Genomic DNA, 27,162 nt, shown 5'->3' with positions numbered 1-27,162 from the left:
AGAAATTAGTAAAATATATATCACTCATAAGAGAATCACTAACATTCATAAATAGATGTAACTAAATATTAATAGAGCATTATCATCTTTCAAACAAATCCAGCATCTATGTATTACACAGTTCAGTTTTCAGTAGATGAACAGATTACTGAAGTCATAACAAAGCTTGATGGGCCTGATTGATTAGTATCTCAGACAAGTCCAAATAATGAAAAACACCTTATGGAATACCTTAATTTGGGTCCATTTCAGAAAGTGACTTAGATCTAACACCTTTTACAATAGATCAACTCTATCATTTAAGACACTTAAACACTAACCTCTTTCAAAATCATCTGGACAAGTAATAGCGTGGTTGTCAAAGTCACTACATTATTCTTTAATTAAAAAAATTTTTTTGTGCTCCCTACTTTTTGGAGTACTTTATTTGTATTAGACTCAATGACTAGCAATTACTTCCCATATAACGTCTTCAGAAAAGTTTGGACTGGAATTTCTATTCCAATGTACAAAGTACATTTTAATGGACAAAAATGAAATAAATGAACTCAATAAATGTACCCTACACCTGAGTTATTTTTCTTAGGATCCTTGATTTTAAATAGATCCATAATTATTTTTAAATAACTTTGGAACAGCTTTGTAAAATGTTATTTCAACTTTGATTTTAGATATGGGGGTCTATGCACACGTTTGTTAAGTGGGAATATTGCGTGATGCTGAGGTTTGGAGTATGGATCCTATCACCCAGGTAGTGAGCATAGCACCTGATAAAAAACTGGTTTAAAAAATACATCTCACATATTCAACATGGAATAATCTCCTTAGCCACTACTAAGCAGGTCAAACCAAACTAAACTGAAATCAAATTCTAATTAAATGTTAGTTTAATCAAGTATGAGCCATAAGAACCATAAAAGTCTTATTTATCAAAGCCACTCAAGTAACTAGGCTTTGCATATTCTAACTGGTTTTATAAGATGGTCACAGAAACTGAACACATAAGCTTTTATAGGAAAACCATTCTTAAAACATAGCTACTGCTATTTAATAAAAATGACATATGGCCAATTCAGTCTAAATATACTAATTCTACTTATCTACAATACAGAATGAAGATTCTTAGGCCTCATGAATACATTCTGAAGAACCTAGATTTAAGTGTAATTACAGAATGTGCCCTAAGGCAGAATATTTTACTTCCTAATCATTTTCCATAGGTAGTGGTTTATCACGATAGTTTCATAATGTTACAGCGGGGGTGGGGTTCTTAAGAGATGTTGAACAGGAACTTGGGGGCAGAAGGAAGAAGGGGGAAGGGTAAAATCTGTTAAGTTACCATTCAAAAAAACAAAGGAATAAAAATTTCTCAACTACACAAGAATAGATTTGACTATCTAAAATGTTTCAAAATCTAATGGTAACAAATAGCTTTTGGATTATTATGTCTGATTTGTTTTCAGGATTACAATAAAAGAGAGCTGACTGCTAAAAGACTGGGCTATCAAGAGAAAAATGAAGCATCAGTTTGGGTTGATAATATAAACACAAAAATTTTTGTCTTAGATTTTAAGGACTTTAAGATAAAAGGTGCATTGTTAAAGATACCCCCAAATTTAAAATAAATTAAAAGTAACATGACATTCTTACACCCACTATGTCGACATTAGCTTAATCCCATTGTAAGCTTTTTACTACAGAGAACAAGACCTCTCTTTGCCTTTCCTTCAGATATCTCGAATGCCCAGCAAATAATCTCTAAAATCTACTTTTTCAGCTTTTATAATCTCTGATCCTATCGTCAGTGTACTTGCTTAAAACATGTTAATATACAGATGACTTAGTACTTTCTGCAAGGCTTGTTAAACATGGACAGTGTCTCCCACACAGAAGCAGAAACGGCTACTTTAAGGAGATCCTTTTGATTGAAATGAACATTTAAGGTGTAAGAAAGATGCTTTCCTCAGATCTCATGTTAGAATTTTACTTTCTTACCTTGCAGAAGTGCAATTTAGCAAATTCTAAAGGGTATCTCTTCCCAATGGGAACAATAAGGAAAACTAAGAAACACAACACTAGTACTAGGAAAGTACAAGATAAGACAATAGAAAAGATAGAAAAAAGACAAAAACAAAAACACACACACATACAATTAGCAGTTTAAAGAATACAGAAATATTTCTAGTCTTGGAAAACAAATATATGCAAATTATCATGCTATAAGGAGCAAGTAAGCTTAACAACTGAATGCCTTAATGAGGACTTGTCATTGGAAAGGAAAGGGAAATATACAAATTTTCCTTACTAATACTAGTATGGATTATCTACCTCAAGCTTAATGTAATTATGTCAAAACAATACTACAGCAGAACCTAACAGTTTTTTCATATGCTTTCTCATTTCATTTTTACAACAGTCCCATGAAGAAATGGCATTACCACTATTTTACTGATAATATTAGAGCTTGAAGAGATTAAATTACTAGTAAACAACAAAACACTGCCTTCACTCTTCAGAGTCATGTTGAGTATGTATATAATTTATAATTTCTTGACTATATAATTTATAGTTTCAGTGAGTAGAGTAGTCCTCTTCTTTTTCCAGGAGTCCAGACACCTGGCTCTTCACTGCCATGCCACCCAGATGGCAGGGAAGGCTTACTCACAGAAGGGTGTCCTACTCCTAAAAGGCTCAGGACTACTGTAAAATTCCAGTGGCACAATCCTAACAAGGTGGTAAGTGAAGGTTAGGAAAGCTGGCCAAATGTAATAGACTGAAGCTTTTTCTCAGCTGGAAAATTATATTCCCCCCCTTGATTAAAAAAAACATTTTTTTCAGAATAAGAAGTATAAGAACAATTTTTAAAACTTACCTGCATGTAGAAAAAGGAGCAAACTGAACACCCTTCTCTTTGCATTCCCTTGTTATTCTTTCTTTTACATTTCTACAGAGATCTACCACCCTAAAAAAAGATAAATGAATACAATATTAAGTTTTCAAGTGAGAACTACACAAGTGCTAATAAACGTTGGTTAATCTGGCATCATTCAAGTCTGACATTTTCTTAGCTAAAGCTTTCATAGTTGTCCTTTCAAGAATGGAAAAGAGCCCTGATCACTCAAATTGAGCCCTCCATTCCTAACTTCAAAAAGAAGAAAGTTTTTTCTTTTTTTGACTTAAGGAAAACAGAAAGTCACAAGAACACACTCAAGTCTCCTGAATGTGGTTTCCTACACTTAGGAAAGCCTGATTTCAAAATCAATTTGATTATAAGATTTTAAGAGCTTTAAAAAAGCTATAAAGATGTTAATGAAAATTCGATTCTAGGTTACAGGAATACCAATCTTTACCCATGTCTAAGAAGTTTTCCTTAATTTAGAAATAACTCAGGCTGGGTGCATGGCTCACACCTGTTATCCCAGCACTTCAGGAAGCCGAGGCCAGAGGACTGCTTGAGCCCAGGAGTTTGAGACTAGCCTGGGCAACAGTGAGACCCTATCTCTACAAAATATTAAAAAATTATCCAGGCATGGTGGCACACACCTGCAGTCCCAGCTACTCAGGAGGCTGAGGTGGGAGAATCGCTGGAGCCCAGGAGGGCAGGACTACAGTGAGCCATGGTTGCGCCACTGCACTCCAGCCTGGGTAACAGAACAAGACTCTGTCTCAAATAAAATAATAATAATAATAATAATGATTCAATTAATAATCATGATGTTACTAGCCTGGGCAATATAGTGAGACCTTGTCTCTACTAAAAATCAAAAAAATTAGTTGGGCAAGGTGGTGCATGTCTGTAGTCCCAGCTACTTGGGAGGCTGAGACAGGAGGACTGCTTGAGCCTGGGAGGTTGAGGTTGCAGTGAGCCAACATCGCACTACTGCACTCCAGCCTGGGCAACAGAGCAAGGCACTGTCTTTCAAAATAAATTATAATCATGATGTTATATCAAATGTTCGATAGCTTACTCACAAGCTGAAATCCAGTTTGACAAAGATCTACTGAAGACAAACGATGTAAAGTATTAATGTGTTATGCTGGACTATTTGATATTAAAGTCCCATTTTATTCCCCAATAAATATCCTGGCCACATAATAACACCGATTCTGTGTTTTAAACCTTGATTTGTTTAGCATCATGAGACTTGAAATGATACCAGAAAAACTCAAAAGGTTGGCTTATCTCTAGTCTCAAGACGCAGACTTGACTGTATGAGAACCACTTTGATAAAAAACAGTAGCATTTAAACAGATCATACTTTATAAAAGTTATCCATATTGTCAATAAGAACAAACAGTATATGATTAAAATATAAATACAAAAAGGGCTTTAGTGTCTTATTAGCATGTCACATTTTTTATCTTTATGAATACAGTATCTGAAAGTTTTATAAAATCTAATTTTATAAAACAATGTTCTTAAGTTAAATTCTTTAATTTATGAGAGTTGCAGGTATACATGACTTATCAATGTTATCTATGCATCACTTATGCATGGCAAGGATGCACATTTAAAAAAAATCTCATAAAACATTTAGATGACTGATATTTAATATGTCTTTATTTTGAATATATACCTTATAAAACAAATATTTAAATATAAATAAAATCTATTAAGCTTTAATATTTATAAGAGTTAACGTATATTACAAATTTATAAAAGTAGTAAGTTCTTTTCTTTGGAACAAGTTCTTTATGTTGGCTCTAGAAAATGAAATTTAAGTGCTACAGCTAAGTAGTCTAAAAAAAATCTAAGAATACAATCATCTGCTGTTACAGTCCTTTGCAAGTTATGGCACTGTGTGAACTGCATTTCAGTTTAAATGCACTTAAATGTATCCAATCATCTTAAATACAATAGTAAACAGGAAAATATTAAGAGCTCCTTATATCTAAACCCTCACTGATAGTTGAATAATGAAAAGGAGATGGAGAAAGGACCAGACTGAACAGTTATAACCCACAATGGGACACTTTCAGTAAATGATTTTTAGGGAAAGGTTTCTGAAAGTATTCTCTCACAGAACTTGATAAGAGGCTAACACAGTCCACTTGGATCAATCCTTTTATAGGACAGAAACATAACTGCATATTTTCAAATTCTTACTTATTAGCAAATTTAACACTTGACCATTTCCTCCCTGAAAAAAACTTCCCTGGGCTTTTTTTACATCATTGGATTACCTCTACATCCTCTAGATATTATTATTCAATACACTTTGCCACCTTTTGTTTTGTTTGTAACCTTAAATGTTGAGGTTCCCTGGACCTCTTTCTTAGGCCTTCTTTTTTTTCCTTCACTCCATACTATCTATAAGTGTTTGTATCCACTTTCTTGGTTTTAATCAGAAGACTTGCTGGTGTCTCCAAAATCTGTAACATCGGCTAGGCACAGTGGCTCATGCCTGTAATCTCAGCACTTTCGAAGGCCAATGCAGGAGGATCGCTTGAGCCCAGGGGTTCAAGACCAGCCTGGGCAACATAATGAGACCTCATCTCTACAAACAAAAAAAATTAGCCAAGCATGGTGACGTGCACCTGGGATCCTAGCTAGCTAGGAGGCCAAGATGGGAGAATCATTTGAGCCCAGGCAGTCAAGGCTGCAGTGAGCCGTGATAAGCGTCACTGCACTCTGGCCTGGGTGACAGAGCGAGATCCCATCTCAACAACAACAACAACAACAAAAAATGTATATCTCCAACCCTTAAAATATCTATTTTTATAGACTGTACTCTCAAATTATTCCCAAGCTCATTCATAAGAATCTATGAAGAATATTCATTGAGAACCTAACAGGTGCAGCCATTGTGGTAGGGATGGGATGGAACACAATAGGATGGGACACTTAGGAATACACAAAAACTAGTATGACCGGTAATCCCTTAAGTGGCTTATATATGAAAAAGCCAATAATCTAATAATGTGTGAAAGTTAAAAGACCGTGATCCCATGGGCTACTGCAAACATGTCCTCTAGCTAGTTAAAGGTTTGAAAGAAAAAGAAAATTGCTAAATGGTTGTCAACAAGTAAATTTTACATAAAAATGTAGTTGCCTTCCATTAATATTATTTATTAAAACTTCGGCTGAAGAAATTGTTTTAAAGGAAAACAAATGTGTAACTGCATAAAACAGAAATTATCAGTGTGTCAAATAAATATGTAAGTATATATAAAGAATAGATGAAAAACAAAAAAAAATTGCACATTATTAGCTTCCACAGTTGGAAGAATAAAAAAACAAGATGTCAATCATCAGTACTAACTGATGACAAGGAAATTCATTAACTCTTAAGAGGTAGCATTGCACTAATCCACTGTCCCGGTGATTTGGACTGAATGTTTGCATCCCTCTCAAAATTCATATATTGAAATCCTAAGCCCCAGTTAGATGGTATTAGAAGGTGGGTCATTAGGTCCTGTGGGTGGAGCTGCATTAATGGGATGAGTGCTTTATAAAAAGATATGAGAGGGCTTGCTTTCTCTCTCTCTCTGCTTTCCTCCAGGTGCAGGTATTACTAAGAAGATGGCCATCTATAAAACCAGGAAGAAGGCCTTCACCAAAACCCCAACCATGTTAACATCCTGATCTCAGACTCCAAGCCTCCAGAGCTGTAAGAAATAATTGTTTCTTGTCTAAGAACATTTAAGCTACCCAGTCTAAGGTGCTCTGTATAGCAGGCCAAACTGGCTAAGATACCCAAAGAGAGGAATTAAACACTACAATGGTCTTAGACGCGTTAAAAGGTTTTCCCCAACTTTTCAAGTCCCTTGTCTTGTGTTGTATTTGTGGGGAGGGGTTGTTTCAGGGTTTCTTTTGGTTTTTCCTGCCAGGTAGACAGAACTGACATAGAAAAAGGGCTGGAGAGAGATTCTGTTGCGTAGACTAGTCCTGTGGAAAAAAACAAGCTCCGTTAAAATGTCTGCCTTACTGGTTTCTCCAGGGAAGGAAAAATATGTTTCCACCTTTTTTTCTAAGTATTCGTCCTTAGTTTTGATTTTGGAAAGATGTTAAGCATTTATTTTTAGTTAAAAATAAAAACTAATTTCATACTAAAAAAAAGATCTTTGAGACCACTATGAATAGCTGCCAAACTGCTTCTTTTTTTTTTTTTTTTGAGATGGAGTCTCGCTGTGTCGCCCAGGCTGGAGTGCAGTGACATGATCTCGGCTCACTGCAAGCCCCGCCTCCCGGGTTCACACCACTCTCCTGCCTCAGCATGCCGAGTAGCTGGGACTACAGACGCCCGCCACCAGGCCCAGCTAATTTTTTGTATTTTCAGTAGAGACGAGGTTTCACCGTGTTAGCCAGGATGGTCTCGATCTCCTGACCTCGTGATCTGCCCGTCTCGGCCTCCCAAAGTCCTGGGATTATAGGCGTGAGCCACCGCGCCCAGCCGCTGCCAAACTATTTCTACTACTCAAAGGCTGATGACTTGATAATTTTTTTATTGAAAGGATTTATTCCCCTTGTTAAAATTTAGCATCAAAATTTGTGAATAACATTTCAACTTGAGAAATCTGACTTAAAAAATAAAAAAAATTGTGAATGACTGAGTGATAGTATAACATAAACTGGGTTACTAGCTAACAATGCATGGAATACGAACACCAGCGTACTAACTCAGTAGATGATGACTGCATGTAGAAAAGTAAAAAGTTTTCTGGGGGAAAAAAGAGGGATTGGAAGAAACCAAAATATTAAGATATGCAATCTAAGAAGTAGATTCACAGGGAATTGTTCCGTCCTATACACTTCATTGTAGATTTAAAGTACTTTATAAATTTTATAAAGAAAAGTAAAATATCAGTATACTAGAAACAAATAAAAATATACAGGTTGAATATCCTGCAAAAAACCAAAATGTGAAATGCCCCCAAATCTGAGAGTTTTTGAGTACCAACATGATGATCAAAAGAAATGCTGCAGTGATTTCCAGTGAAATTTCCAGATTTGGGATGCTCAACTGGTAAATATATAATACAAATATTCTAAAATCTCAAACACTTCTGGTCCTGAGCATTTTGAATAAGGGATTGTATAGACAATCTCTTTGAGGATTTTTTTTATTACTGGATGAGTTATAATACAACTCACAGGTCTATTAATAAACCATTTCGCATTTCCTAATCAGTTTTTATTAAGTCACTAACCAATACTGTATGTATGTATTTCCAGTAAAGAAACCCTTCTAAAATCTATTTCCATCTATCTTATTTGGGCCATTTCCTAAAATATGCTCCAGTATCAACATTTTGCTTAAATTTAAAAACAGAAATTGTACATAATTTCCTAAACTAAATTTCCTTTATAAACCACCTAAATTCCCATTTTTACACATACAAATATCAAAAACTAAATAATATTATAAAGGACAGTTAACTGGTTTTATACTTTGGGAGGACTTTTTAGAGAACATTTAAGCAATATTAATCACTTAAGAATTTAAGTCAAAGCGAAGTATAACCACATAGTAACACTGAGCATTCAATAACATTCTTCAAAATGTAAACTTCAACAATACCTTCGTTCTTTGGATCACAGACAAATTTTCTTCAACTCCCTCCACCCAATAAAACACTTGAAAATACGGCATTCTGATGAATATATTAATTTAAATAAAGTAGCTGCCTTGTCTCAATGTTTCTTCATAAAATGTTTTAAACTTACATATTCACACAAAAAGAAACATTACTTCAAGCAATTCATATCGCATATTTGAATAATATCAGGCACTTTAGTATATTTTACCTGTCCCAAGGAGCAGAAGTCTCAAAAGATTCTCCTAATACATAGTATTCCAAAGCCAAGTCCTATTAAGACACAAACAGAAAAATCAAGAAACTACAACAGATGCAGAAGAATCAATAACACTGTTAGTCTTTCATATTCATTGTTAGTATCACATGTTTCTCATTTAACTTCATCCACTCTTTACTATCCACCTCATAAGAGCACTGAAAAGTTGTCCCTGGAGTGAGATGCAGCCTCCGTAACTAAAGGAACCTTGTCTGTCTTATTCTCTGTATCCTTGGCACCAGGCAGAGTGCCTGACTCAGGGCAAGAACTCAAATTTATTTCTTTAGTGAATGGAGTTTCTATCCAGGAACAGTCTGTGTACATGTAGAGAATACTGACAGAACAGAATTTTAGTGGCATAAATAGTAAATTAACCAATATCGAAAATTAGTCAAGATCAAAGGAGTAGGAAGATCAAGAAGTGAGGGGCAGGGGGAAGGTGTTTAGAATGAGGAGATTTTTTTCTTAAAATCAACTTTTCTTTAAAAACAAATTTAGAAAACATAGTAATATAGTGCAGCTATCTGAAGTGACAGAATAGATCAAACATCTGGAGGCACTTCTACTACGAAAATATTTTACAGTATAGAGGATATAATACTCATATTACAAGTAACTTATAATACTTAATTTCTTTACCCAGAGCAATATTGTTTTGTTATCAAAATTGGAAAGAAAGCTTCACAGAAGTCCAGAGATTTTAAAGAAAATTTTATAAGGCAGAAAACTCAACATATGTTAAGTTTTCACTTCAAGTAAAATGAGTCATTTCAACCCACCTGTGTTTGGGGAAAAAAACAAAAAAATCCCCAAATTACTGATCTGATCTAAAGCATGTGTTTTTCTCTAATGCACTCATTTATTCAGTAAAAATATATTTAGAGACAATGGTATTAACCATTGTAAAACTTATAAAAACAGAAAACATGTAATCCCGGGGTAGGGGGGGCGGAATCCCTAACTTGCTTTTGACTCAGTTTTAACATTAACTAGAACCTTAAAAATTAAGATAGATACTCCAAATTGTGTCTATGCTGTACTTGTTACAGTTATATTTCATTTTCTAGAATTCTGAATTCAGTATTATGGGGAAAAGGCCAATATCCTCAGAGAAAATGCCTAACAAACAACATTTTATGTATATTCAAAATGCTTACTATGGGAAGAAACTATGATATTGACAATTGATAATTGTAGATATTATTTACAAGATCTACAATCATCTATTACCTTTCATGATCAGTACATCTCTTAGTCAAAATTTCTAAAATGCTGAACAGGCAATAAATATACTTTTACTTATCATCATCACTGTGGGGGCAGGGGACAAAAGAGGAGGACTATATGCTTCAAATTCACTGCAATTTAACATTTAGATTTTAGCTGGGATTAAATTTTTGCTAAAATGAGAACATATTAATTCAGCCTTTTTTAGAGAAAAACATGTTGTACATAAGCTTACAACAATTGTTGTGTATAAGGTTCAAAATTTCCAAGAGAAAAATTAGTAAATTTAGTATTTGGAGGTGATGGATATCCCAATCCTGATTTGATCTTTACATATTATATGAAGCTATCAAAATATCATACGTACCCTGAAAATATGTATATTTATTATGTATAAATTTCCAAAAATTTTTATAATTAAAACAAGAAAGCTGAGTATTTGTGGAAGCCAAATTCTCAATAGGATATCTGAAAAAATGACCTTTTAGAGTAAGATCATTCAAATTATGTAAACAGGAAAAATAAAAAATAAAAAAAGTAACCCCAGCAACAGCAGAAAGCAATTAAGAAATTTGAATTTGTTACAAAGTAGAAAAACAAAACTAAATTGAAAAAATAAAATTTCAAAAGAACAATTTCATATCAGTAAATACAACAGACTTGAGATAATAAGACTATTTCAGTATATCGTAAGTAGAAAATCTAGAATTAGAAACATTTGAGTGTTCAAGTACACATAATTATTTCTTTAATTCTATAATCATCATCAGTGAACAAATAACTACTTCAAGTTAAATATCAAAATTTTACAACACAGTTAAAGATTTACACATCATTAAAACAGATTATTAAGTGAAGAGTGTTGCTAAGTAAAACAGCTTGATTTTAACCAAGTAATGTTATGAATGGTATGCTCAACTTTTAAACAGAGAAAGGCTCCATTCTTTTAAAGAGCAGAAAGACATATTAAATCATCTTTAACTTCTTCAAGAGCATATGGAGAAGGTTTAAATGGGCTTCTGAAGATTTGTAGCTAAAATAAGGTTCATGTAAAATGATATGCTAAATTACAGTAGCTTAAAATTTTAAAAAATAGGGAAGACAATTGCATTCACTTAAAGTAAGAAAAAGTATTGTTTGCAACATAAATTAAGTGGCAAGGGAAATATGATATAACTTACTCGAATGTATGCAATAACATAGGTCAGCAAATAACCTCTCTGTCCATTATCTTCTCCAGCTGCCAACCCACTGTAATTAAAGAACAAACTGTTAATAAATTTTTTATCTTAATCTCATTTATCATAAATGTATCAAAAAGCTGTCAAGAGAATAAGTTTGAATAACAAAAATCTGAAAACACTTTTAATATTTCTGTTTCATCTTAATTTCAAACTTTTATCCACGAAATAAAATTGACTCATAAACTCAACTACTTCTACCCATATTCTCAAAAAAGCACAGAAAGAATTAACTATGAGAAACAAATAAGCTGAAATAATCTTCACACAAGTATTCTTATTTTACTCATCATATTCTTACTCATATATTCATATGTTATTACTGTCTCACTCATATTTGAAGAAATGTGACGACTAGGAACTCCCCAATACTGAGAAGCTTCCAGAATACAAGATGAGTACATAGTATTTGGAATGTTAGATGTGGTGTTTATTTTATGAAATTTATGATTTAAATGAGAGACAAAACATACTTACATAGAAATATTTTATAAAGCAATGTATAAACAAACACAAGACCAACACAGGTAAGGTCTTACTACTATGAACATATAAACTATCTCTTTCAATTGGAAAATTTCATCCATAGAAATTGTATTTGATGATCTAGTTAGAATTAATCCCATACAAATATATAATTCAGTCCAAGTACTCTTGTTTGTAAAAGTTATTCTTATTTTAAAAGACAATGAATGAATACTGTTTTTCCACTACCTTTAGTAAATAGTTTTTAATTATGCTTTTTCCATTATCATACAGAAATTAAAATTTTAACTTTAGTCAACTAAAGGAAAAATTGTTTATCTTATCACCTCAATTAACACCTTATAATTAAATATTTTCTTCTTCTGAAGTTGTGTTGAATTTGGTAGTAAGTAAACACTACAATGTAGATGTACTCTTGTTCTGTACAAATACTGTAAGATAATTTCAAGCTAAATGGGCTAAATCAAAATTTCCTGACTTGCCACTATAGGTAGATGGTGTTATCCAAAAGAAGTGGCAAAGATTTGATATAAGCAGCTCTAGTCTAGAACTACTTGAGAATGGGGTATAATAAAAAAAATGAAGGGGACTGTTTGTATTAGAATGTTAATGAGCAAAGAAGATAAAACTTTGGTCAAGCAGCTGAAAGTGAGAAGAAGAGATAAAACACAATTCTGAGTTGGATGTGAGGTTGGAGGTAGAAAGCCTCCAAGTTTCAAAACAAAAGGAAAACAAGTCAGAAAACTGCTGTGGCAAGTGCGTAAAGGAAAACAGCTTAGCCCATAGCTCAAGTAGATATAAAATAGAGTCAGACTCTGAGTCCAAGAGAGAAAAAGCACCACAGGTCTAGGAAACAGAAACAGTTCATCCATCCTGAACCTAGTGGTGGAAGGAAAGGAAAAGAGAGTGAGGAGTAGGAAAAGGTGCAAGGCACCTGTGTTGGGAATATTTGAGAAAAGAGAATGCCAAGTATGTATCTGATGAGAAGTAACAGGTATAAACATTTAATAGGCTTGCCTCTGTTATGTCGAGATGAGACAAAAAGTCTTACTTTTCAGTCCTAAGTCATCTTTCTTTAGACCCTCTTCTAATATTTCTAATATCTGGCAGTAGGGAGGAAACAGATCTGTTCACATTAGGATCCAGGGAGACAAACCACAGAGAAACATGCATTTTCTAATTCAAAGCAGGAAGAAATTGGATGTCCTTTCTAAATTCATAAGCCCAAAGAAGTAGAGTCAGTCTGGGCTTTACAAGGAAATCATAGACTTATGACTGAACTTTTTGAAACTTTTCTCTTTTTAGCTTTCAGAACTGTCAATATTCTAGCCAGAATTACCTTAAAATACAATATATTAAAGAATAGTAGGGCTTAAAAATCAAATGCTTCTAAATTGTGACTTTTGTAATCACTCCAAAATGACTGCATGTAGATTCAAACTGCTTTATGTTAAAGTAGCAACATCGATCCCCTACTTCCTGCTGTCCCCACAAATTTCAAACATCAATTCAAGGTTTTTAAACAAATTTAAAGCTGTCTCATGAGGAAGGACTGGAAAGACTAATGAAAGAGGAATGAGAGACAATCTTTTTATATAAAAGGGCCATCTGGTGAACCTAATCACTCTCATGTTGAATTATATTAAACAACTTAAGCATGCTTTAAAAATAATGATAACATATTACCTTAAGTTCTATGGTAAATGTCAAAACACCTGTCATGAGTGCTGACAGGTAATGTTTATTCTGCTCTGCTCTTGGAGAAGTTAAAATACATTACTAGCAAACATGGATAAACAATCAAAGTATGATTATTCATTATGTGGCTACTATGTTCTGTTGGGTCATATGTGTTCAAAGGTATTGAACTATGTTGGGGTGTGAGTGAAGGGTAAGCAAAGAGAAAAAATGGCTAAGACAACACATAAAAATGCTCTAAATTGTTGGGAATACTTCATAAAAATCAATGTAAAGCTAATAAGGCAGTAGAGAGTTTCATAAACAAATAAAAAAAAAGGGATAGATGAATAATGCCCCAATTCAAAATAAAATACATGAGCTAAACTAGCACATGAAAACTGTAGCAGAAAGAAACTTGGTGGTGCTTTCTTTTGTCTTGTTATGCAGGAGAGATGATTGAGGATTGAGGTGGGAAGAGTGGCATTTTACCTAAGTAAAATATCCTTGAATCTTCAGTGATTAGAACAAAAAATTAGTGCCTACAGAAAACTGGTGGGATACTAGAACTTCTGGTAGAAAACCAAAAGAAGATATTTCCAAGTATTAAAAACTTAAAATAGGCCAGGCGCAGTGGCTCATGCCTGTAACCCCAGCACTTTGGGAGGCCAAGGTGGGAGTACTGCTTGAGACCAGGAGTCTGAGACCAGCCTGGGCAACATGGCAAAACCCCATCTCTACAAAACACACACACACATACACACAAAAATTAGCCAGGCATGGTGACGTGCACCTGTAGTCCCAGCTACTCAGGCGGCTGAAGAGGAAGGATCCTTTGAGCCCAGGGAGGCTGAGGCTACAGTGAGCCATGATCATCAGGTCACTGCACTCCAGCCTGAGTGACAGAGCAAGACATTGTCTCAAAAAAAAAAAAAAAAAAAAAAATCGAAATGGCTCTAAGTAATCTAAGTAATCTGCCAAATAACAATCTGGGTTGTTTAAAATAGAAGATGTCCACATCTAATAAAAGGGAGCCAGAATGAAAGCACATTAAGAAATTAATTATAACTAAGAAGGAACAAATAACAGCAAAAAAAAAAAATGAGACCTCAAACGGAGCCAATCTTTAACTCTTTACCCTTGCTTTAAATTGAGTCTCATTTACTATAACCTATTTTTAATGGACAAATTTGATACAAGTTTTGTTTGAGTAAGCAAAACTGCTAGAAGTACAGCAATAGTGCTTGGGCCTAAGTGTCAGTATCTGAAGGCAGCTGGATGCCATATTTTAAAGAAGATTCACTTATAGTTTTAATTGGTAAATGGATAGTGACATATAAGAAAACAAAACTGGCATTACTGACATTCATGTCAGTCGGTGGCTCAAATTAAAACTGACAAAATAATGCCTGTAATCCCAGCACTTTGGGAGGCCAAGGCGGGTGGACCACGAGGTCAGGAGTTCGAGACCAGCCTGACCAACATGGTGAAACCCCATCTCTACTAAAAATACAAAAGTTAGCCAGGCGTGGTGGCATGAGCCTGTAATCCCAGCTACTCAGGAGGCTGAGGCAGGACAATCACTTGAACCTGGGCGGGAGAGGTTGCAGTGAGCTGAGATCACACCACTGCACTCCAGCCTGGGTGACAGAGCAAGACTCCGTCTCAAAACACAAACAAAAACAAAAACAAACAAACAAAAAAATCCTGACAAAATGTATTGACAAATACCTAAAGATGAAAATACACTGTTTTACAGGTGGCACAGTAATTAGGCATAAACAAAGTAGAATAAAAGATATCAGGAAAATATAGTATTCACTTTCATTCATTCATTCAACAATTATTAAATCAAGTATCTAGAATGAACTAGACATCAACAGTGATGCACAAGAAAAAGATAGGTCATGCCCTATAAAAATTATGAGGCACAACAAACAAGCATTATGTCATCATCCTACCCCATTCTAACAGGAAATGTGACACATTACTAACTAGTAATGAGTTACTAGCCATACTTAATTGAAATTATAAAGATAGATCCTAAAAACTGAAATTCCTCTGTGTGTGGGTGTGTGTACAGATGTGGAGGTGTGTGTGAGCAGAGAGACGACTGAGGTGAAACTAAGCAAATTTAACTCTATATACAGTTATTTAAATGATAAAGCAAAATGCACCCTTCCATTTCCCTACAAGCCCTTCTTAGAAATTATGAAATCCAAGTAAATATTTAAATACACAATGAACAATTTTTTAAAGCTTCAGTCTCTAATATTTAAGGCTAGAGTAGGTTTTAAATGTCCTTGTGCCTTACTAACATCATATGTTTTAAGAAAACAGTCCTTTAATCAAATTACATACGTACTCCCTATAACTTAGAAACTAAAAAACGGGTACATACATAGGGCTAAATTCCTTCTGGGAAGGAAAACATGTACATTTCAAAAATTCAAACAAAAATGAGATGACCTGAAATTCAAGCCATCTGGTCATTACATGGATTTTATAGCACAATTATTTTTAAGTGATTTAGTTAAAATATCAGCAATTCCCAAAACAGCTATCGAGAAAAGATGAAAGATGAATAAACTTTCTCTTTTACTGAAAAAATTAAAATTCCATTTGCCAATTTCAGAATAGGGTAAAAGTGAGACATTTTCAATACTTAAAAATAGTGCAAAAGAAAACTAAAATTTAAGTCTAAGATTAGACTATTTTCCCCTTTAAGAATACTGCACGTTAACACTAAATTCAGACAACCCTAGAAATAAAGGGCTAATATTAGATATGAAAAAAAATACATAAAAGTGGGGCATTCTAAAACACATGGGTCCAAATTAAGTGTTCATTTGTTTTCTTAAAAAACAATGAAAAAGAAATGAAAATAAATATTTACAAAGAACTAATATTAAGCATAATGTATATGATATATTTTAATCCCTGAAATCAAAAAAGAAAAGATTAGTGTCTAGAAACTGTTAGTTTATGTACTTTAAAAGGAAAGGAAAAAACATAGTCCTGATAAATGGCATTTTCACTATAGTTCTCATCAATCAGTCTTATAATCCATCAAGAAGACAGAGAGAAACCACCCTACCATTATTCAGTTGGTTATAGATGTGAAATGTTTTCTGTTTCTTTATACCAGCACAAAACAGTAAGTGACAGGGGGTGCAGTATAGATAATTTATCAAATACCTTCGATTAAACACAATTTCCTTTTAAAAACACACTAGTAGCACGCTTTATACATACACTATTATCACCACAGAGTAAGAGGACAATGAATTTTCTATTTTACTCTAGTAGAACAAATATCATGAAATTGACATTAATGTAAAAATCTAGGAAAAATACAATGTTTAATAATAATATATATATGATTAGACAAGAGCAACATATCAATCTAACTTCCTAAAAATTCTGGATGTAAACCAAAACAATATTTTAAGTTTACTATCATAAATTACCACAAATTTAACACTAAACTGAAATTAATAACTACTTTGAGACATGCAGTCTGTTTGGAGACATTAATGCCTAGTACTTTAATAATTGCTTGGTGATATTAGAATCTTAGCTTTTAACTCTTTCTCTTGGCATTATGAACTTGAAGCCATACCCAAATTTTGCAGCAATATCATACACTTGTTTTTCATGTTGAAGAACCTTCTCACGATCCCCCTCAAACAGTAATGTGGCTACACTTAGCTGATTTGGGTCAAATCCTTTAAACTACAAAAAAAAAAAAATTTATTATTACAGATAAGTCTTATCCTACAAAACAATAAATCAAAATACATTTTGCTCTTTTCCTTCTGATCTGGGCTCAAATACACTGATTTCTTAAAAATTGAGCTTTGGAACTTTACATGTCAATCACTAAGAATGTTTAATAAACCTATTTAGGTCATTACAACGTAGCAAAGCTATTCAGCATAGAAAAAAACACTTTATTTCAAAGTATGCCACAGTGTTAATCATAATAACATATTGCTTATGTAAATACAACAAATAACTTGTTGAAATAATAACTATGATAAAGAATCAAATAAAAAACTGCAGAATGATAGAATAAAGTAGCTGGATATATTGGGCGGGAAGCAAAAATCAACAACATCCCTACATACTAACAATAACTTCTTATTAAATAAAGTTTTCAAAGGCGATCTTATGCATAAAACAAAAACAGTATCTAACAATCTTAAAAAGAAATATATTAGGAAACATATCTAAAACACATCCAAAAAAAGATGAGTAAGACGTATGCTCCCAAATGCATAAACTAAGTATTATAAACCAGTCAATATTTCTCCAAATTAATGTACTAGTTTATTCCAATTCTAATTAAAAAACACAATGAACTTCCTAAAATGATGAAAAGTTTCTAAAATTTTTCTAGAATAATAGGTGATGGTGATAACAAGGAAAATTCTGAATAGCAAGAGGGAAAAATAGACCTACAACAATGAAATCTATTTAATTTTTCAAGAACAAAAAGCTCATTAAAAAAGACTGAGATGCACTAAAATGGAATCTATTTCTTAGATAAGTATATAAGATATGAGGCATAGCAAATCAATGTATGAGAAGCACAGATTAATTAATGGTGCTGCCACAACCGGTTAACAATTGGAGGAGCAGGAGGTGAAGATTAATTTAGATCTTTTTCACATAATAAAATTGAAATAAATACAAATAGTAATAAAGACTTTTTTTTTTTTAAATTCTCATTTAGTATAAGAGAGAGAGAGTGAAGAAAATGGCCCTGATCATATTACTGGAGGAAGGAAGGCTTTTCTAAGCTTAGACTATATTAAATAATCACAGGAAAAGATATAAAAATTTGAAACTTTTACACCAAAAAAGAAAAATCCCTATTAAAAAAGGAGATGCCTGACTGGGAAAAAAAATTACTTACAACATTTATGACAAAGGACATCTAATAATTCCAATCTCAAAAAAAGATACATCAAAGTACCAAGAAAAAAACATGAAGCTGCACACCCCCCACCACCACCTGGCAAAAATAACCATATCCAACGAATTCACACAAAAATTAGATCTAGAAAATAAAAAAAATGTTAACGTTCAGTCTCATTGGAGCTTCAAAAAACATGAACTAGAAGAAAGTACTGTTTTCCCCCTGGTAAATTAAAAATGTAACAAAAAGAATCCCACATGGAATAACAAGGATGCAAGGAAAAGAAGGCACACATGTATTATAAGATGGCTTAACACTCTAGGAAAAAAATTCAACAATCAAAGGTTAAAAAAAATCCACACTCTTATTTCACTTTATGGATACCTTCCATAAAGGAAAAAATTTAAACTATAGAAAATGTTATGAAAACAAAACTGTTCAAATGCAGTGTTATTTTTAGAAGCTTCAAAACTGGAAAAGAAATAAAATTTTCTGAAATTGACTGCCTGATTTACTTAATATTTATTCCAACATGAAAAACTGTAATTCTGAAATGTACATAGCAACATGGAAAAACACCCTTACAATAGGTGCATGTGGGAAGAAAGCAGAAAACAGATATCTTAAGCATTTACAATTTTAGCATTTTATAAAAATTCTTACCTTTGTAATATAAAACTTTTTTAATCCGTCCAAAAATGATGTAAAAATAGAGGAAACCTGAGGTTTAAGAGCATGACCTAAGAAGAGAAAAAAGTTTATATTAATAGGTTAGTCTATGTTTTTCAGAAGATCAAGAAGCTACTCCAACTTAGAATCCTAAAAGAAAGTAAAAGTTTTCACAACTTTAATTTTTAAAATCTTCCCGTGTTATTTACATAAATATTTATATTACGATATATAGTTATATTAATATTTGCTACTTTTATCTTCTTTCAAATGTCACAAACAACTTTTTATTTACAAAACCCATTATCAATTTGATTTTTTAAGTCAAATCACTATATGTAATTAATACTACACATAGTTTAGGTTTTCTTTCAACGGTATGGTTTACACATAATAAAATTACTTCATTAATTTTTATTTCATTAAGAACACCCATGGTGGCTGGTTTTACTTTTTTTTTTAATTATATAGAAACTATTCAGAACTATCCAAATATGGAGTTAATGCCAAGTTTAAGGTTGTTTCTTAATTAATTGTTAATTCATCCAGAATTCTTGGCATAAAACTAGCAATTGCTTCCTTAATCACACCCGGAGAGTTAAAATTGCCAAAATAACATAAATGGAGTCTCAAAGTCTGTTAAATTAACATCTTTGCCTGCAGATTAAGCTTAATTGAGTGAAAACCTTTTACTGTTTTCTCACTTTTCAGAAAGTAGTAACGACTCAACTCCTATGATTGCTACATTTAAGAGTCATGCATCTGGCCTCAGTGTTAGCAGCCCAATTCAGAAAAAGGTGTCATACCATTTATACAAAATTTTTATAAAGAATTTCAGTCTTAAGTAAGTCAAAATTATCTCCAAATAAAAAGTTTTCTTTTTTAAAAAAGCCTTTAAGGTTTGGGGATTTTGTTTGTTTTTAAAGTGTAGGCCCTTCCTTTCCTTCTTTTAAAATAGGTGCAAAGAGCAAACTAGCTGTTTCTAAAACTATCACTGGTAGTTTTTTTCTATCCATTTTTTATAAGAATCTCAATCTGTAATACTACTTACTACATTTTTGCTGATTATAATAGGAAACTGTGTTACATAAAAGACCAAGTAATAGAAGTCTTAACCAGAGGCTAAGAATTAGATATCTATGCTATACCTGAGGCATTAAAAAACAACAACAAAGAAACAAACTGAACTGCAGGTTAGATAGAGATCAACCTAGCAATCTTTTTGAGCTCCTGGATCACAAGTAAGAGATACGCTTGGGGATTTTTTTCTTTTATTTTAAACTATCAGAGATGCTTCCTAGTATAACTAGCGCTTTAAGAGACAATTTCTAATATCTATAAAGATAGAAATAACGTATCATCAAAACATTCATTTCTGGTCCCAAATGGAACTCATCCTATATTAACAACAATTAGAAATACATATATAAACATTTATATATTGAATGTGCATGTTGTGTTCTTGGCAGAAGTTGAAATTATCTATTCTTTATACAAAAGATTCACTTATCTTTATACAATGCATGCGGACTCCATATGATACTACTCTGATATGAAATAATCCTTAAGGGTAAATGTTCACTTAACTCATCGAGATTTATATGCACAATTTCCATTAATGCTAGTAGAATTACTCACATACATCTGTGATACTAAGGTGACATGATAGCTTTGAAGAATAAATTATTGTAAAAGTGATACTGACTTTTAGGTGGGTCAAGCATTAGTATCAACTAGATAATATTATCTTTTACTTTTTCTTAAATATGTTGCCTAACAATATAATTACATTTTAAATATATTCTAGCTATTGTGGGTTTGTTTTTTTTTTTTTTTTTTTTTGAGACAGAGTCTCACTGTGTCACCCAGGCTGGAGAGTAGTGGTGTGATCTCGGCTCACAGCAACCTCTGCCTCCCCGGTTCAAGCAATTCTCCTGCCTCAGCCTCCCGAGTAGCTGGGACTACAGGTGCTCGCCAACATGCCCAGCTAATTTTTGTATTTTTTTTTTTTTTTAGTAGAGACAGGGTTTCACCATGTTGGCCAGGCTAGTCTCAAACTCCTGACTTCAGGTGATCCGCCTGCCTTGGCCTCCCAAAGTGCTGGGATTACAGGCGTGAGGCACTGCACCCAGCTGCTATTGTGGTTTTTTAAAATATTAAACTCACTTCCAAATTTACTAGCTGGACAGTTTGATCAGTGAATTTTCTGTTATTTCAATGTTAATCGTGTCATTTAACAGGATTTATTAATTATCTATATTTTAAAGCAGTGGTTACAGACAGTGCAAAAACTCCTGGGCTTTGTAGTCAGACAAATCTGGGTTCATCCCTAGCTCTACCACGTATGATTTGTGGACCGTAGTCAAAATAATGAGTCTTTGAGTCATTTGTAAAGTGGGGATACCACTCTGACGAACAGTCATGAATAGAATTTTATAAAGTGTGCTATTGACAATGTAATCAGCACTATGCCATCTAGGATTTGTTCACCCCCTTGCCAATTTGATGATTAATTGAATCAACATATAAATGCCTATTACGTGATAAGTGCAGGTGATAGAAAAATGACTAAGAAACATACCCTAAATTCGAGAAACTTTGGTTTATAGAGGACATCTTTGGATTATTTCAATATACACAATGATATATATCATTTCAATATACTAAAATTAGATAATGTCAATATAATGTATTAAGAGTTGTACCTGAAGTAGAGATTATATTAAAAATATTAACAACTAATAATATGGCATGTGCTTTGTTAACAACCAATGTGGTATAAACACCGACCAATCAGCCATACGGTTAGTGCAGGGTCTGGGGCACCTTTTGTTGTGCTAAGCATTATTTCCTCTTTTGCTTGATCATGAAGCCATGGCAGGATATATTAATGTAAAGGCTTCAATTAAAATTGAGAAATAAAAAAGGTTATATAGACAGCCAAAAAGCATGATCAGATCTGTATTTCAAAAGGATCACTTTGGTGGCTAAGTAAAGGGCAGAGAGAGGGGAGACACAGTAAAGACTAGAGAAGGTAGAACCTATAATACCACAGACAGGAGCAAGCTAGAGGGGAGCAAGTAAGTATGTTTTCAGGTATAGTAATGAGAACATGGAAGAGGGATGACAGGAAGACTTTCTTTAAACCTTCACTTTAAATTGTTATGGACTCCAATTATAAATAAGTATGGCCAAATCATAACTAATTTTACAAATGCCTAGGTCTAACATTGTTTACAACAACAATAACATATAAACGAATAACACAGTCTTATTAATTAGATGCATGGCTCTCTTTAAGACCTAGATCTTTAAATGCAGGCCAAAACACACAAGTGGTTTTTCACTTGATTTAAGTATTTCATTACTTATAGAACATATTTATCTTAAACTTTTGTCAGTAGTATAGTATTTTGAAAGTAATTTACTTAAAGAAATAAACAATTATGACTAACTTAGAAGAATGTAATTTTAAAACTCTTAATATGTTACGAACCTGACTTTAGTTAAGTTTCTATGTAACTATAACCATGCTTCCCTAAATTAAAATCTCAGCTTACTTTTAGACATGACAAAAGCCTGCCTATCTTTGCCTTTAGTATTTATTACTGAACGATCACTCTCATGATTTTAGGAATTGTTTTGAGGGTATTTAAATTCTATAAACTTAAATCCCAAAGTAAATTTCACAATATAACTACAACCCATTATCATATCTTTTTCCCAAGACCACCACCCATTCTTCTATGTTATTTAATCTACCCAATCAAATCAGTCTAGGTGTTGTCTTCAACTCCTCCTTTTATTTAGCCTTCCACATCCAGTTAGCAAACTGATTTTCTGAAAATCTATCATCCGTTCTCTATCTCCATTGCTGCTGCCATGCTCAAAGCCCTCAAACTTTGCTTCTTGAGCTGTTTCATCTCCTAGTGTCTCTCCTCCATGCATGTACCCTTCTAATCTATCCTGCACAATGCTGCCAGAATGAGCTAAGATGTAAAGTTGATTGATTTTATTCTTCAAAGAAATCCCACTGCTGACAAGACAAAATCCAAATCTATCCTGCAAAGCCCTAGCCCACCCAACCAACTTTATCTCATGTAACAACTCTAACCCCACCCTCTATTTGAGCCACATAGAACAATTTGAAGTCCCCTAACACACATCATTGAGTTTCACACCTTCACATTTTTGCTGCCAAGTGAAGAAGTCTGGTTGAGAAGAAGAAGAGACATCTAGGCAAACTTATATTCACCTTTGAAGATTTAGCTCAAGCATCTCTCTTATAAAAGCCTTTTCTGACTCTTTATCCTCAAGCAAAATCAAGAAGAATCAATTCCTTCATTTGCAGCCCATGGTATCCAGTGCAGTCTTCTTTCACAGGCCCTCCAACACTGCTACCCTCACTCATTTATGTAATTGTCTATCTTCATTAGACTGACATCTTCCTGAAAGGCAAGACTGACGTTCTTTCTACCTCTGCACTCCGTACTCTTCCTACTGATGTTTCATAAATTTCTGTGGCTAAATGACATTTTAAAATTACCACTCCTTACTTACCAAACTGAAACTGCTTGTTGTCCATGAGGCGAATAGATGCCGGAGCACATCTCTGTTTTAAAAAGAAAAAAAAAAGTGATACAAATTTAATACAGTAAGAAGCTAGACAGGTAGAATGTGAATATTATCTTTCTATATTTAAGAGATCAAGAGCTTAGTTCCTAAGGATTTACAGAGGAAAAAAAGTTAACTTTTCATATACTTTTATGAAGACAAATATCAATGACTTCTATAAAATATTTGGAGAGAAGAAATCTACAGATATAGATAAATAAATACAAACATAAGTTAACAGATTTTAAATTTATCAGCAGAAAAAGCTGCCTAATGTCTGGCAAAGACATATGAGAATATCCTAAAAGAAATACCAGACCCCAAAGTGGATTATTTTAGAACAAAGATGTTTCTAAAACTAAAATCCAGTGCCTCAAGTATTATGCCATTTTATGAACTATACTGTATTTTATCCACAGTAAAGGTAGAAGATGAAGACATTCTGACTTTTAGATGAGCACTATTTCAGGCAAACCACACAGCCTCCAAAAATCACTTAAAACACAGACACATGCACACACAGCTTTATCATATTCCAAACAAAAATTACATTAAAACTATGTTATTTTCTATTTTGTAGTCTTATTAAATGTATAATAGTTTAAAAATGTTAAAGAAATGTACTACCTGAGTAATTTCAAATATTGGCATAAGAGTATCTTTGTAGTTGGGTTGATACTTCTAAAAACGTTACCAGTTTCCAAAAATACTAAAGGAAAATCAGTTTTCTTCACGTTTACAAATCTGAAATGTTTTTCATAAAGTGGGCACATTGACTTCTAATAAAATATACAAAGCCTGATTAGACCAAATTTCTTTTCTTCATAAGTAGAATATACATATAACATATATATTTATATATTCTAGCTTAAGCACATAAGTAAAATATGAGACAGTAACAGCCACTCTGTCATTCATAACAAAAACATTTTAAGTTCCTACCAGCAACTTGTAAATTCCATCTCCTGCTAACAACCACATTCTACCGCACCTTTATCAATGGCAAGTATTATTAATGAAAACAATTCACGTAAGTACACATATATCAGAAAATGGGAGGGGATGGGTGCAGTGGCTCACACTTGCAATCCTAGCACTTTGTGAGGCTGAGGTGGGCAAATCACTTTAGGACAGGAGCTCAAGACCAGCGTGACCAACATGGCAAAAGCTTGTCTCTACTAAAAACACAAAAATTAACTGGGCGTGGTGGTATACACCTATAATCCCAGCTACTTGGGAGGCTGAGGCATGAGAATCACTTGAACCTGGGAAGCAGAGTTTGCAGTGAGCGAAGATTGTGCCACTGCACTCCAGCCTGGGCAACAGTGCAAGACCTTGTCTCAAAAACAAAACAAAACAAAATGAAAAAAAAGGGGGGGGGGGGGAAGGAAAGTATATTACATTTAGTGTAGTAAATTTCTATGGGTATTTAATCTTTAAAACAATTAAAATATGCAAGTCTTGATTAAATCTTGGTTTGCAAACACTATTCATAAAACATATCTTGGAGATAACTGGAATAATCTTATATAATGAATATTAGATGGCATTAACAAATTACTGTTGATTGGCCAGGCGCAGTGGCTCACACCTGTAATCCCAGCACTTTGGGAAGCCAAGGGAGGCAGACTGCCCGAGGTCAGGAGTTCAAGACCAGCCTGGCCAACATGGTGAAACCCCATCTCTACTAAAAATACAAAAAAAAAAAAAAAAAAAGAAATTAGTCAGACATGGTGGCACACACCTGTAGTCCCAGCTACTCAGGAGGCTGAGACAGGGGAATTGCTTGAACCCAGGAGGAAGAGGTTGCAGTGAACCACTGCACTCCAGCCTGCTGGGCGACAGAGCGAGACTCTGTCTCAAAAAAAAAAAAATTCCTACTGATTTTCTTAGACATGAAAATGGTATTGTAGTTATAAAGAAGAACACTATTCCGTCTTTAGGAGACGGTGCTGATGTATTTAGGTTAAGTGCTGTAAAGTCTGCAACCTAGGCTGGGTATGGCGGCTCACACCTATAATCTCAGCATTTTGGGAGGCTGAGGCGGTGGATCACCAGAGGTCAGGAGTTCGAGACCAGCCTGACCAACATGGTGAAACCCCATCTCTACTAAAAATACAGTATTACCCAGCCGTGGTGGTGCATGCCTGTAATCCCAGCTACTTGGGAGGCTGAGGCAGGAGAATCACTTGAACCTAGGAGGCGGAGGTTGCAGTGAGCCGAGATTGCACCACTGCACTCCAGCCTGGGCAACAAAAGCAAAACTCTGTCTTTAAAAAAAAAAAAAAAAAAAAAAAAAGTCTGCAACTTAATTTCAAATGGTCCAAAAAACATATACACGTACATGTTAAACAGAGCAAAAACTTAATTATTGTTGAATATATGAAGTGGATAGACAGGTGATCACTGTACCAGTCTTTCAAATTTTCTGTATGCTTAAAATTTTCAAATTAAAAAGCTGGAAAAAAGGCAAGAAAGCTCCTGGGCAACTGCTGTATCATATAGCAACTAATATTCAATTATATTGAGTGTGATTTTTAACTTGATAATCAAGTCACATAAGCTAGCTATCCAGTATTCCTATTAGTATCAAGGAGGAATAGTAGATGGTAACAGACAAACACTATCAAAACAGAACTAATAAGCTAAAGAATTTTTTTAATTTTAGATATTAAATTATTTTAACATGGACTTTTTTGAAATTATCTAATTCAAACCAACGGTTTTAAAGTCTCATACTTCAATAGTACCAGATTTTTAAAAAGTCAGTAGAGTTTTTCAGTTATTGTCATAACTAAATGCTTATATAAGTAAAGCACTCAAAAATAGCATCTAGGTTGGTTTATGATCTCCTGGTAATTGATATTTGTAAATCACTGCACATCATTCTAAATATATAAAGCTGAAAACATTTCTTATAATTCAAATAATTAAAAGTTACCACTACAGTTAATTAAATGGAAGGTTCTATAATCAAGAGATCAAAATAATGTTACTATTCTTAAAAAACAACATCAATTTGAGTTACTATATGTACAGTTAAGATTAGGTTATGTTTCCACTGCTTTAAAACTAATTTGGTAGGTTTAAAAAAACCACAAAAGATTGCCTTCAAAAGTCAGAGACAGCACAAGTTCTGAGAATTTGAGCTCTAAATTCACTCCCATGTTATTTACTAATGCAGGGCTGAGAGTATTCCACAGATTTTGTAAAGGAGGGAAAAAGGTCCTTGAGTTAAAGTGACCCCTGCTGGTAAGCGATCAAAACTAACCTGAGAGGGAATATTTTTACAAATTTTAATGATGGGTTAATGATAAATTCAGGGAATTCAAGAATACTCAGACAGAAATTGCTTACTAAAACTGAGCTAATGAAATAATTGATTTCTTTCCTGCTACGATAAATGTACCCTTACTAGAATCTCTCAAATCATCGAACTTGTACCTAACTATATTTTATACTTAATAGTCTGAAACTATATGAAACCTGATATGGACTAATACAGAAATATCAGTATACTTTTTGTA

At 33.5% G+C, this 27,162-nt stretch overlaps 1 protein-coding gene across 3 annotated transcripts in view; it reads right to left on the bottom strand.

Moving 5' to 3' along the window:
- AGPS (alkylglycerone phosphate synthase) overlaps positions 1–27,162 on the bottom strand; it is a 151,062-nt gene that overhangs the window by 27,054 nt on the left and 96,846 nt on the right. For all 3 annotated transcript variants that reach the window (NM_003659.4, XM_011512041.3, XM_047446104.1), the window contains exons 12-17: positions 23,582–23,633; positions 19,016–19,092; positions 17,051–17,163; positions 11,206–11,275; positions 8,750–8,811; positions 2,873–2,962 (exon numbers count right to left, since the gene is read on the bottom strand). In NM_003659.4, the coding sequence (NP_003650.1) occupies positions 2,873–2,962; positions 8,750–8,811; positions 11,206–11,275; positions 17,051–17,163; positions 19,016–19,092; positions 23,582–23,633 (464 nt within the window). The remainder of the gene's footprint in view (positions 1–2,872; positions 2,963–8,749; positions 8,812–11,205; positions 11,276–17,050; positions 17,164–19,015; positions 19,093–23,581; positions 23,634–27,162) is intronic.

Source organism: Homo sapiens, chromosome 2, assembly GCF_000001405.40.
Source record: "Homo sapiens chromosome 2, GRCh38.p14 Primary Assembly".
In the NCBI taxonomy this organism is placed as follows: Eukaryota; Metazoa; Chordata; class Mammalia; order Primates; family Hominidae; genus Homo; species Homo sapiens.
Note: the sequence above shows the minus strand (reverse complement) of the source record. Positions and strands in the feature narration are given on the sequence as shown.